General features: G+C 42.3%; 1 annotated feature.

The window, feature by feature from the left end:
* Positions 6,581-7,082: an enhancer, noted in NCBI's record as "NANOG hESC enhancer chr5:6038201-6038702 (GRCh37/hg19 assembly coordinates)". NCBI's record gives its function as "activates a minimal SCP1, AML or CMV promoter by ChIP-STARR-seq in naive H9 embryonic stem cells {active_cell/tissue: H9 hESC(naive)}" and the evidence as "EXISTENCE:reporter gene assay evidence [ECO:0000049][PMID:30033119]".

Consider the following 13,055-nt stretch of genomic DNA (forward strand, 5'->3'; position numbering starts at 1 on the left):
TGCTCTATGAGAGTATGCAAACCTCTAAAGGTAAACAAGAGTGGGAAAATATTTCAGTGGGACCTGGGAATGATCAAACGCAGGTAAGGGAGCTGAGCAGGGAAAGAGGAGAGGAAAGTCACACCATGAAAGCCATGGGGAGCCATATAAGGGCTTTTTGAGGAAGAGTGAAATCATCCATTTGGAGTTTTCAATAGAATGTGCTGGCTGCAATGTTAGGAAGGGTGGAGGATAGCCAGAGGGAGACAGAGAGGCCACCTAGGAGGCTTTGCAGGATTTGTGGTGAGAGGTTGGGTTGGCCTGAATTGAAGCAGTAGCACCGTGGATGAAGAAAAGTAGAGGGTGGTGAGTGTTGCATGGGAGGTAGATTTGTTGGCTCCGATATCACTGCATATGGGTGGTGAGGACGGCAATCACTCAAAAATGGCTCCTGGTTCCCAGCTTGTGCACATGGGCTAAAGTAATGATGTACCAAGACAGAGGTCACAAGATGCTTGGGGCAGCTGCCTGCTGTGCAATTTCACACAACTGTGGGACACCTACGTGGAGATTCTCAGTGGGCAGCTGGGTCCTGGGATCAAGATCTCATGGTAGGAAGTAGTGATGGTTCCAGACACAGCCTCAGGAGTTATTGATGTGGTCCCGGGTGATGTAAGCCATGTGAGGAGATGACAGTCAAGTGGGGATAGAGAGACAGCAAGAGGCAAGGGCAGAAGTGGACTCCCCATGAGCCTGGAATTCGTAGGATGAGCAGAGGAGGAAGAGCCCCCACCCCTCCAGAGGCTGAGCCCACGAGATAGAAAAATGATGAGACAATTGTGACATGGAAAAACAGCACAGGGATCTCCACAGAGTGAGGAGATGAGATCAGGGACACACACACAGGAGGGTTGGAGATGGGGCTTCCCTAGGCCTCTGCACTCTGCACCTGCCTTGGGAGGGACAGCCCTGGTAATCTATGACATGTCTTCAGCATCATTCTTTCATTGTCTTGGATAATAGGTCCTGGCTTCAGGTTAGATGGCTGACTGATGTCCTTATCAGACGGTTGTTTGGCCATACTTTTGTTCTCCCTGGAACAGGCTTTCTCATTCTTTGCAATATGGATAGACTGAAAATTTTCAAAATCTTTAAGTTCTTCCTCTCTTTTGATTAACAATTTCATCGTTAAGACATTTCTCTCTGCTTGCATTTTACTATAAGCAGTTGAGAGAAATCAGGCCACTTCTTCAATAAGTTACTTTGACTTTTCCGCAGCCAAATGCCCAATTTTATTGCTCACAAGTTCTACCTTTCACAAACAGTAAGACAGAAACACAATCTAGCCTAGTTATTTACCACTTTCTAGCAAGCTGGACTTTCTTTCATTGTCCAATAGCATGCTGCTCACTTCCAGTAGGCCATATTTCTACCAACATTCTGCTGAGGATTACTTTGATATTCTCTAAGAAGACTGAGGTTTTCTCTGCAGCGTTCTTCTTCTCCTTCTGAGCCCACACCAGAATCATCTTTAATGGTTTGCTTGGAGCAATGTAGGCCTTTTCTAGCATGTACCTCAAAACTCTTTCAGCCTCTACCTATCACTCAGTTCCAAAGCCATTTCTACATTTTTAGGCATTTGTTACAGCAGCAGCTCCATTTCTTGATACCAATTTCTGTCTTAGGAGTCTCCAAAGAAACAGAATCAAGATATTTAAGGCTGGGTCACACAGTCTTGGAGGCTGTGAAGTTCTATAGTCGGCTCTCTGAAAGCTAGAGGCCTGGGAAAACCCTGCTGTGATGCCTCCCTTTGGAGTGTAGACACAGCTGATAAGCATTAACATTAAAATACAGATAAAATATAGATTGTAACACTGACATAACAGACTCTTTGTAGCAATAAGATACCCAACTCCAACCCAACCTTGGTATAGCATCACATGACGGATAACAGGACCTGAAGGAATATATTTCTTTGACATATTTTGGAATGGCCCTGCAAAGCCATCTATTGTAGGAGAAATTGCATTCTGTAGATAATCTTCTCACCTTAGTAGGTCTTCTCCAGAGAATCTGACACCTTCCAAGTTCCCAAAAGAGACATTTATCATCTATTACCTCTGAAACCTGCTACACAGAGGCTTCATCTACATAACAAGAACCGTGGCTTCCACAACCCCCGTTAGGTTAACTCAAGCATTGCTTTCTGCTGACTTTAATTCTTAAGTCAAAACTTAACTCTTTCAACTAATTTCCAATCAGAAAATCTTTGAATCTACCTATGACCTGTGAGATCCCCATTTTGAGATGTACCATCTTTCCAGGCCAAACCAGTGTATACCTTATATGTATTGATTTATATCTTTGTCTTTAACTTCTGTCTCCCTAAAATGTATAAAACCAAGCTGTAACCCAACCATCTTGGGTACACGTTCTCAGGACCACCCTTCCCACCTAGGCCTGAACTAGCTTTTCAGGTTTTCTTTGGGATCCCCTTGACCACGTGAGGGAGGTCTGTTCAGTCAGTTGGATGGCTTAGAACTTCATTTTTGGTTTACATCTAGTAGGTACAGACATTGGGTACATGAATCCTCCATATTTTTGGTATCTCACAAGGGCATGTTTGAGCCAGAGGATATCTGGAGGTACCAGGACACTGTACACCAGCTGGGGAACTGTGCACCTTTTGCTCTCTGTTTCATGGGACAAGGTGCCAATTCAATAGGAAGTTGACGATGGGCATAACACCTCCTGCTGGGGTGAAGAAAGGGTCATAGTTCTGCATATGACCTTTCCCTTCTTCTAATACTAGCTCTGTCCTTGCCAAGCAATCCAGATAAAGTTTCCCATGTCATTCTTATTTATATATGGCTTTAGAATTAAATAAGATAAAGTCAATAAGGCATTTAGCACAGTACCTGGTATAGAATAATTTTTCATTATCTATCTTATTGTTTTAGCACATTTACAGACTTTATTCTGACTGCGGCTACCTGAAGACTCCAATAACTTAATTTTCATTTTTCAGACGAGTAGACTGAGAGGCTGTGTGATTTGTCCAAACTTCAGCTAAACTGTAACCCTCCTCAGCATTTCAGTGTAATAGTTGACATGGCATGCTCAACAAATACCTACTGATCAGAGCTGGTAATTAAGCCTTTCAGCCAGCACTAGTGGCAACAGAGGCAGATAAACCCTGACTCCAAGTTGAGTACCTGTCAGCCTTGCCACATTTGTGTTTCACACCATGAGCCATGCTCCCCTAGCTCACTCCAGCCCCTTCCTGATGCCTCTTCTGACTTCAGAAAAACCTTCAAAGTCATTTCAGTTGTGCTCTCGATCACTGAGTGTGAAAAAATGGGAGTGCTCCATGCTTTCCAAACAAAAACAAAGAATTTTTCCAAAAAATTCTCAATGACATTTTATGATGTCCTATTGATGAAATGCAGACAAGTATCAACCTCATCAGGCTCACACATTTCCACAGTCTCATTCCTCTGGTTTCTACTGTTTGGGCTCATGGTGAGCTATCCCTTTCTTATTAAGTAGACAAGAGAAAGAGCTCCTGCTTTCCCCTACAGACCATTTAGTTGTGGAGCATTTCTCTTTTATAGCATTTGCTTCTTGGTAGTTCCATGGCTAGCTTCCTTCTTCTTTTTGTCTGTTGCCCACACTCTTAGCTTTTAAATTTTTCATGGGTTTTAGTCTTACACACCTGAGGACAGGTAGTCAGTCTTCAAATCACTAGTCAGTATCACACAAACCTTAATTTTCTAATTGCTAAATACAGAGTTCCTGGATTGTTCCTTGTGAGTGAATCATGACTCAATGGATTGCGTTAACCTTGAAAATCTCTCAGTAACAATTAGCTATCTTAAAAGAGCAAATAGGAATAGTACGATGGTAATTTCAAGCTGTAGAAAAATTCCTCAGCAACTCACCTGAACTTCAAGCAACTGTTCTCCCCCAGAATTGAGAATCTGGATTAAGTGTAAAATAAACTTGCTCTTGTAAAGTTATGTGCTTGTCTTCTGATTACATCTTACTTAAGCGATAAAACTTTTACAGAAAGAGCTACCTGCGTTAGTTGGAAATCACATATGGGCTTCCCAATGACACCTCTGCTTCCATAATACTGTCTTTTATTAGCATTTTTCCCAAATAGTATTCCTGAAATCCATCACTGTGTCAAATCCAATACTTTACATACCTTGAAATATGGAAAAAAGAAGAGATTTGCTTCTTTGGTGTGTCAAAAAAATCAAAATTAAAAAGCTCTTGTATCCTGTAACCAAACAATAGAAATGGGATATTCTGCCTAAAGCAAGGAGATAGAAGAATTTTGGATTAACAGTGAAAGAAATAATAATATAATTGTAATATACAGATGGTTCAAGTTCAGACCAATGAAATATCATAAGTTAGAGATTCAGAAATCATTCTTCAGGTAACTTATACACCTTTGTGTAGATGTGTGTTTACATGTGTGTAAGTTAATTATAGTCAGTGGGATCTAATTAAAGAAATTAATGAAGAGTTTGAGTTATTGAATGTTTTTAAAGAAATGTAAACTACATTGGCTGATGTTTTAACAAGGAGCTTTGATTTATTATTTTAACTAGCATATATCAGTTGTTGACAAGCCACTGGATAGATAATTTAAATATGCTTGAGGGACTCTGAAAAAAAATTCTTATCTTATGCGTACAAATTTATGTGCATAGTTATTTTGCTAGCAATGTCTTTCTTCCCTGAGAGTGCCTAATCCTGTTGAATAATCAAAACTTCTAAATTAGCAGACAATGGCCAAGACATCACTGCATTTGTAAGTTAAGTTATAGTTTCATCATATGAATACATTTTCTTTTTTTCAAAATAAGTAACCTATTTGTGTTTGTGTGTGTGTGTGTGTGTGTGTGTGTGTACCTGCATGTGTGTCAGAGAGAGGGAGAGAGAGTAAGAGAATCTAAACCTCTCTGTAATTATAGAAATTCAATATAAACACAGAAGAAGAGAAAACCACAGCTACCTATACGCTCTCTCTGCCAACCTATGTTGATAATCTCCCCGTACTGTATATCATTTTCTTATTTTCTAGTTCATGTCAAATGATCCTTTTTAATAAATGTTAATCATTATCTAAAATTATTCCTTGTAGAAATGAAAGTGTTTACTCATCTATTAAATCTCGGAAAGTTGTGCTGAATCCATTTTTCTTCCAAACCTCAAAAGAGTAAAATTAGCATGACATGGCTTTACTGTGGGTATTTGTTATTTCAAACAAGGTAAGTTCCATGTCATGACAGAGGAGTTACTAAGGGAAAAATATGTGCTGCAGCAAGCTCAGGCAACAGCATAAGTGCAATAATCTGCATGGTAGAAATGCCACATTCATTACTAGGAATTTTTGTTTGTTTGTTTGTTTTTTGAGACAGAGTCTCGCTCTGTAGCCCAGGCTGGAGGGCAGTGGCGCCAACTCTGCTCACTGCAAGCTCCGCCTCTTGGGTTCACGCCATTCTCTTGCCTCAGCCTCCTGAGTAGCTGGGACTACAGGCGTCCTTCACCACCCCCGGCTAATTATTTTGTGTGCGTGCGTGTGTGTGTGTGTGTGTGTGTGTGTGTGTGTGTTTAGTAGAGACGGGGTTTCACCGTGTTAGCCAGGATGGTCTCGATCTCCTGACCTCGTGATCTGCCTGCCTCGGCCTCCCAAAGTGCTGGGATTACAGGCATGAGCCACCGTGCCCGGCCATGGAATGAAAGTTGGTGAGAAAGGAGATGGTGCCAGTTTTGCTTTCCTGTGAGAACTTTTCAAATTCACTGCAGATGACTTCTCTCTCTGGTGCATTAATGCGGGATATCAGCCTCTGTAAACTCACTTTCAGAGAATGGTCTCATTCTAATGAATAGACATGTCTCTAAAATTTGCACGAGAAAATATCTGGATGTATGGCTTTGATGCCATGCATTAGGAGAGGCTGGTATTCAGAGTAAGCTTGCAGGTAATGTTTTATTACTGAGAGTAATCCAGTGCAGATCAATGTTTTTAACAGTTTAGACTTTCAGACAGCAGGTTTTCTTAAAGCAAGGTGGATAGTTCCGCTATTTACTGGGCAGTCTCTGGAGGGCCCTTCACGCATGCAAAAGACAAAGCTACCTAGTGTGTTCAGTAATACCGAGACCCTACCTATCAGGCAGCAATGGAGTGAGCATTGTGTGCCTGTCTGCATCTCTGCGGATAAAATCTTTGTAGTTTAGAACTCTTGAGGAAACTGTCAGATGCAGACTGCTGTGCACTCGGTGCTGTGGGGTGGGTTAAAGGACTTTCAGAAGCTTTGTTTATTCCCTTCAACATTCTGTGAGCCGTTGTTATGATACCCACAGTCTAGCTGAGGAAACTTAGACAGTGTAAGCAAATGCATGAAGTGCCGCGGCTCATTAGTGGAATAGCTGGGACACCTGTGTGGCTGCACCAAGTAAATGAAGGGGAACAGGCAGGGGATGATGTTAGCCAGCTAGGCAAGGAGCCGCCTCTGCAGGCCACTGTGGGCGTGTGAAGGAGTCTGGCGTGATGATTTTCGTACTTGAAGACGTGAACTCACTGAATTGCATTGGTATGTTATTCAGTTAATGCTTGTCTGGATTAGCCAGCGTCTCTACCCAGTTTTATTGCTCACTGCTGCTTCCAGCATCCAGTTCCTTTATTCTGAATTCAATTCTTCATCACTGATTTCCTTCAGTTACCAAAAGCCACTGAGTGAGAGCGCGTTCCTGATCATTTCCCTGTGTCTTGACTTTTCTGATTCCTAAATTGGCAATTATCTGCCTTGAGCACTTTGAAGAAAACTCCTTTTGTTACGAGGAAGACCCTGATGTCAGTGAAATTGTCATTCCTTTATGAGTAATCTCTCTTTTCTCTGTTTGCCTTCAAGGCTTTTCTCCTCTGTTTGGTGTTAAGAAATTGCACAGCAACACGTGTGTGTGTGTGTGTGTGTGTGTGTGTGTGTGTGTGTGTGTGTACGCTTTATTTATTTATTCTGTTCAGAACTTGGGATGATCCTCAACCGGTCTCTCTTCAGGCCTGAAAAAAAATCTTTGCCACTACTTTTGGAAAATTGACTCTGGCCCCAAATTCTCCCAATCAGAAATGTGTTCAACTTTCTCCCATTAAGCTGTATTCAGTCATTTCCTTAAATAACTATCACTACATCTCTTCATGTCTAATTCTGGGTGATTTCTGCATATTTGTCTTCCAATAAATTCTTCTCTTTTCAAATGTATTAAATGTGCTGTTCAACATTTTTTTTGCTTTTTTAAAAAATCATACTTTTAATTTCTAGAAGTGATCTTTAATTCTTTTTTTATCCTCATTTTTTCATAGTAACCTGCCTTTCCATCACAAACCCTACACTTTTAAAAAATCTCCTCAATAATTTTCAACATTATTTTTTAAGGTAATTTATATTATTTTTATTTATTTAGTTTTGAGACAGGCTCTCACTCTGTTGCCCAGGCTGCAGTGCAGTGCCACAATGACAGCTCACTTAGCCCTGAACTCCTGGGCTCAAGTGACCATCCCACCTCAGCCTTCTTGGGTAGAGTGGGTTTCAAGTGAGTCCCTAAAGGGTGGTTCTGTGTTTCTTTTTTGGTTGCCATGAGGGTATTCCAGCTGTGTGCCATGTTTCTGACAATTCATTACCCTGATGCATAGGTGACATGCATTCCAGCTGCTTGGTAGGCCCTTGTTACATGTTCTCTGGAAGTACCATTTTCCTTCCAAGACTCAGGTATAGGCAAGAAAACTAAAGTTGTTTGCTTTTTGAACTAATCAGCATTTTTCTTCTCCACCTTTTCATTGAATATGTAGTCCTTTGAGGGTCATAATTTTATGCCATAGAGCTTGTGTAGACCCATGGCTTTGATGACACAGATTTGTCACTCCCACCCCCAGCCTTCTTTACCTGTCTTCTGTGCCTAACAGGAAACTGCAGTGAAAGCTGCTGCCCGTACCCTTCTTTTCAAGGCTTTCTCAAATTTTGGCATTGCTGGACGTTTCTCATGCTTTCCTGATGTATTTTCTATATATTTAAAAGTATATTTACTAAAATATATCCAACATTTCTGCCTGTTTCTTAGTTTTTCTGTTGTTGTTTGTTTGTTTGTTTGTTTTTTGCAGGCGGTACAGCACAGTGCCTAGCAGTGTGAACTCTGAAGCCGTTCTGCCTTGGTTCAAATCCCAGTCCCTCTTGGCAGATGCGTGAACTTTGGAATGTTTTAGAACTTCCCTGTTTCAGTTACGCCATCTATAAACTGGAAATTATACTATTACCTGTCTCACAGGGTGGGTAAGAAATAAGTAGGTAAGCATTTGCAAATTGCTTAGAGCTATTTGAAAGCTCTATGTAAGTGGCAGCTACCATTACAATTGTTAGATGCTCAGGTTTTTATAAGGTCAGGTTCCCAGAAATACCTGTCTCCTTCAATCTAATTTTAATACATAAGCACTCTTCCAACCATGTTTTAAATAATTAGTTCAGCTCTGTGTAACAGAAGTTTTCTTTTACAATGGTTATTATGTGCAACAATTGTCTTGTGATGTGCAATTTCCACATCTGCCTTGAAAGGTAGACGTCATCATCTCTGTCTAGAAAATAAGGAAAGGGGAAGTACAGAGAACTCTCAGAGCCTTGGATTAAACTGAGGATTAAATTCCAGTCCAGCTGATTATAAAGTCCTTATTCTTCCCATTTATTTGGAAAACACATGTTTTTATCTCTAGCTTTAGTAATTGCATCTCTTTCAATGACTTATTTATGTAACATAAGACGCTAGACATGTATCCATCCAGTACTCTCTAGTCAGTGCACCTGAATTGCTGTGCTCATGGATGGGAAAAGGAGCTATACCAGTGCTGAAATTGAAGATCTAAACCTCTAACAGGATGCAAAACATCGTGCACAGTGGGCAGGGAGACGGAATGAGCTATGACTTTAGGGTTGTGATTATAATTGAGAAAAATCTAAGAAGGAGTCCAGATTGTCCAACACCATCACATCACTCAGGTAGTCCTTGCCTCACCAGCATTTAACTGAATGAAAGAGTAAAATATTTTCAACAGGCATCAGGAAAATCCCATCTAAAACCCCCCATCCTGTCCCACATCCTGATTCAAAATGCCTTTAAGAAAAGAATAATGAAGATGTAGAGAGCTGGCACAAAATTGATGCCAGCGCCATTCTTAGATGCTTTCTCCCCAATTTGAAAATAAATTCATGGCCTTTGGAATGGAAACTTATGGGTTTCCTCAAAAAACACTGTCCCTGGGCGGATGGGACAGCATTTCAGATGCCTTGGAGAACTTCCTCTTGCTCAGCTGTCATTGTTTCATTTTAGGATAATTGACCAAAATTCTTCACAAACATCTTAAAGTGAATGTTTGCAATTCAATCTGCTTGACAGAACTGGTCGTATTACTTGTTTTGGTCTAATATTTTCCTTTGAACTCTTCTCTATGAGGGAATATAATTCCATTCAGTTTTGTTTGCAGGAATGTAAAGATGCATTAAAAATAACCACAGGATTGAAAAATATCTTTCTATCTGAATTTCTCCCTCTCATTATTCCCAAAATGTTCTCAATGCTTCTATTTCTGGTGGTGTTCTCTGTCCTCATCTGCTGAAAGGTTCAGCCAGATGGGATGAGCTATTTCTCCAAGTTAAGCACCCAGGGTTTTGGCCAAGTAGAGGTGAAAAGACGTTCTGCTGTGGAGAGGTGGGGGCCAGCAAGAGGACAGATGGGAGGCTTGCACGGTTGTGAGACTGCAGATGATTTGTGGGTGCGTCCCCTATGGGTTTTGTATTTTGTCTTCAGTTAGTGCTTCCCTTAGAAAAATTATTTCTCTATGAATAAAAATATTTTGAAAGGAGGTAACTACAGCCTTCTGCTCAGCACCTGGTTTCACCATCCTGTGGTCGGTGAATGTTCCCACTTCAATGTCCTCCACAGACATAGACACCATTGTCTGACCCTCCTCCTCTTTCGAAGCCTCTCTGTCCTTGTTACATGCACCATACTAGCTTATTCCACTTTGCATGAAATAGTTACGTTTCTTCCTATATAACATGTACTTGGAAACACTGGCTCATTCTTTCATATCTATATATATGAAAAGAATTTCCTTGTGGACAAATTGTATTTGTTTCATATATATATATATGAAAGAATGAACCAATGTTTCCAAGTATCTTTATTTTCCTTTCACATACATATGTAGTGTATATATGTCACAGTGCGTCCTTAACCTTGGCAAAATAAACTTTCTAAATTGATTGAGACCGGTCTCAGATACTTTTGATTACATATAGTAACTCTTTTTCCATATTTTAAGAAATTAAGGATGAGTTGTTACAGATAAACGAAGGAAGTCATCATCAGTAGGTGATGTCCAGAAAGAAGAGATTTTCTGCATGTTCTTGGCACATTCTGGGTGATAGGAAGATAGGCTTTAAGTCACAGAAGTGCTGATTCTTAGATGCTGGTGAATTGATTCAATCCAGCACTAATAAGCAGACAAAACAAGAGCCGCAAGACACGCACGCCGAGCATCTTGGCTCCCTTTAGGGAAAGTCAAGAAGGAAAATGGAGCAGAGAGCACAAAACCACGTAGCACCAATATTGTGAGCCAGAGATATCTGTGTTTCCTTTCTGGTTGTTTAAATATGCTGTCTAGACACATTAGGCTCTAATCTCATTTTCTTTGCTCTGCAAAATTGCAAGCTGTGGCACTTGCTGAGAAGCTGTCTGCCATTTTCTCCATTCTGAATAGAGATTGAACAAGACACCTGGAAAATGATGTGAAATGCTGGTCTCGGCAGCAAGAGACATTGCTGCATGGAAAATTCTAGAAACCATGTTGTGAAGATTTGAGTGGGGGAGGAGAGCAAGTAACTAGAGGAGATACAAAGGGAATGCTTGGCTACTTCTCCCTCTCTCCAGTGCCTGCGCTGCTTTATTGCAGAGCAGGTCGCTGTGGGTGGGGAGAGGGACAGGTGGTTGGTCGCGGCCTTTCATGCTCCCACCTTTCCTGTGCCACCTCAACTTCCTTCTGCTGCCCTGCCACCTCTTGTTAAGTGAATTTCAGTTGCCTCAAACTGAAGTGCAAATTTAGGTATTCAGCAAACACATGCCTATGGATATTCCTCCCTCTGCACATGACATCTCCTGCCCCCAGTGACCAGAGGTCACTGCACCAACCAACTCTGAGGTCTCAAGGCTTATCCTAGAGGGAAGAGATTCGGAGCCTGGAGGCCCTGCCCCATCACCCCAGGCCTAGGGCAAAGCTTTAGGAAGATGCTCTCGTCAGAAAACTGTTTCATGATTTGAGCTAGTATAATCTTTATGTAACTTGTCTTTTTTTAATTTACTTGAAAATTTAATTCATTAAAGTATACCTGAAGAATGTTACATTTATCTATCAGTCTGCATCCTAAAGGCCTCAGCGATTTGGAACTCATCAGTTCTCGGCTTGCTTGTCCCATTGTCCCTAAGCTGAGTTTGAGGAAGGAAAAAAAATAAATAAACATAAAAAAGAGTGTGGCCACCTCCTTATAATGTCTTTTCAAAGCAAACCGACCAGGGGTGGGCAAGGGTGCCCTGTTCTGGGCCCCAGCCTCATCTGAGGAGCTGTGGCTCAGTCCCCACCCATTGCACTGAAAAGGCTATTCTTTGAGGAATGTACTTTGCCTGGAGTCACCCTCAGCCCCTACCCCAGCCTCACAGCCACTGAGTCCTGGACACCACATTGGCCTGGGGGCTGCTGGGTAAACCTCCATGCACCCTAGAGCTCCCGTGAAAGGCCACACTCAGCATGGAAGTCACGGTGTACACTGGGTTTTTGTTTTCAGATGTAATAGGCAAATAGCAAAATAAAAACGTCATGCCAGAAGGGCTAACATTGCAAATATCATGTCGTTTGCAGTTTCTTCATGTTCCTTGGAAAATGCTTCGCTTTTCCTCTTTTCCTATTATATTTATTTTCTGTATTCCTGCGGGACAAAAGAAACAAACAGTTGCAAGAGGAACTTACATTCTCTATGTGAAGAGAAAGCAGAGGTCTTAATATAGCTCTGAACTGTCTATAGATTTAATCATCTCACTGGACTCTTTTCTTTTTATTAGGCTTTGCAATAAAATCTCCCTGTCCCTGCTGCCAGCCTGGGTGGCCATCAGTCCTTCTGTGCTGACCACATTTCACTGCACTCCCCAGAGAGAGGAGTCAAGAGAGTAGCCCTCCTGCCACCCACAGGGCGGACTCCAGAGCCAAGCTCATACCTTGGAACAAGGTATGTGAAGGCTCTGCCCATTCTCCTGTCTGCCTCTTGGGTGGTGGGAATGTGCTGTTAATGCTTATCTGGGATGTGCTGCCATCCACACTGTTGCTGAAGCAGTAATCAGAAGAGGTGCCTGGCATAGCTCTGTGCAGCGATCCACCCCACCAGCTGCCCCTCAGGATGTGGGTTCGAAAGTCCTTCAAGGATTTTCACTGTAGAGCCTGGATTCCACTGTGAGAGTAGCACTGCTGGGAAATCTATTAACTGCTCCACTCTGCAGCATTTCCTGAGCATGCTAGTGCTGAGTGCCCTGTGACCATGTGTTCACAGACACAGAGCCAGCCCGAAGGCCCTCGGAGGCCAGCAGGGGAGGAGGAGACAAAGTGGAAAAGCAGCCATCGGTGGGGCAGGTGCCTCCTGGAGGAGCTCGGAGACCGTGAAGGAAGGGGCGTCCACGGCCCGAAGGCCTCAGGTGATAGGAGAGGCTTCGAGTGCTGCAAGAGAGTTGGTCTGAGGCAGGACCTTCTTGATCTTCCTAAAGAGCTCCAGCTTTATTCCACCACCCACAGGGAAGCAGCCAGGACCTAGGGCTGTCACTCAAGGCAGGTAGCAGTGGGCAGGGGCCTGAAACCAGGTGAGGAGGCCCTGGCAGTGTTCCAGGTGACAGGGAGAAGGCAGCCCAGTGCAGGGAGCCGCAGGGGAGGAGGTGGCTCAGGCTTGACATGGAAAGTCCAGGATCTGCTGAACACG

This window comes from Homo sapiens, chromosome 5, assembly GCF_000001405.40.
Source record: "Homo sapiens chromosome 5, GRCh38.p14 Primary Assembly".
Taxonomy (NCBI): Eukaryota; Metazoa; Chordata; class Mammalia; order Primates; family Hominidae; genus Homo; species Homo sapiens.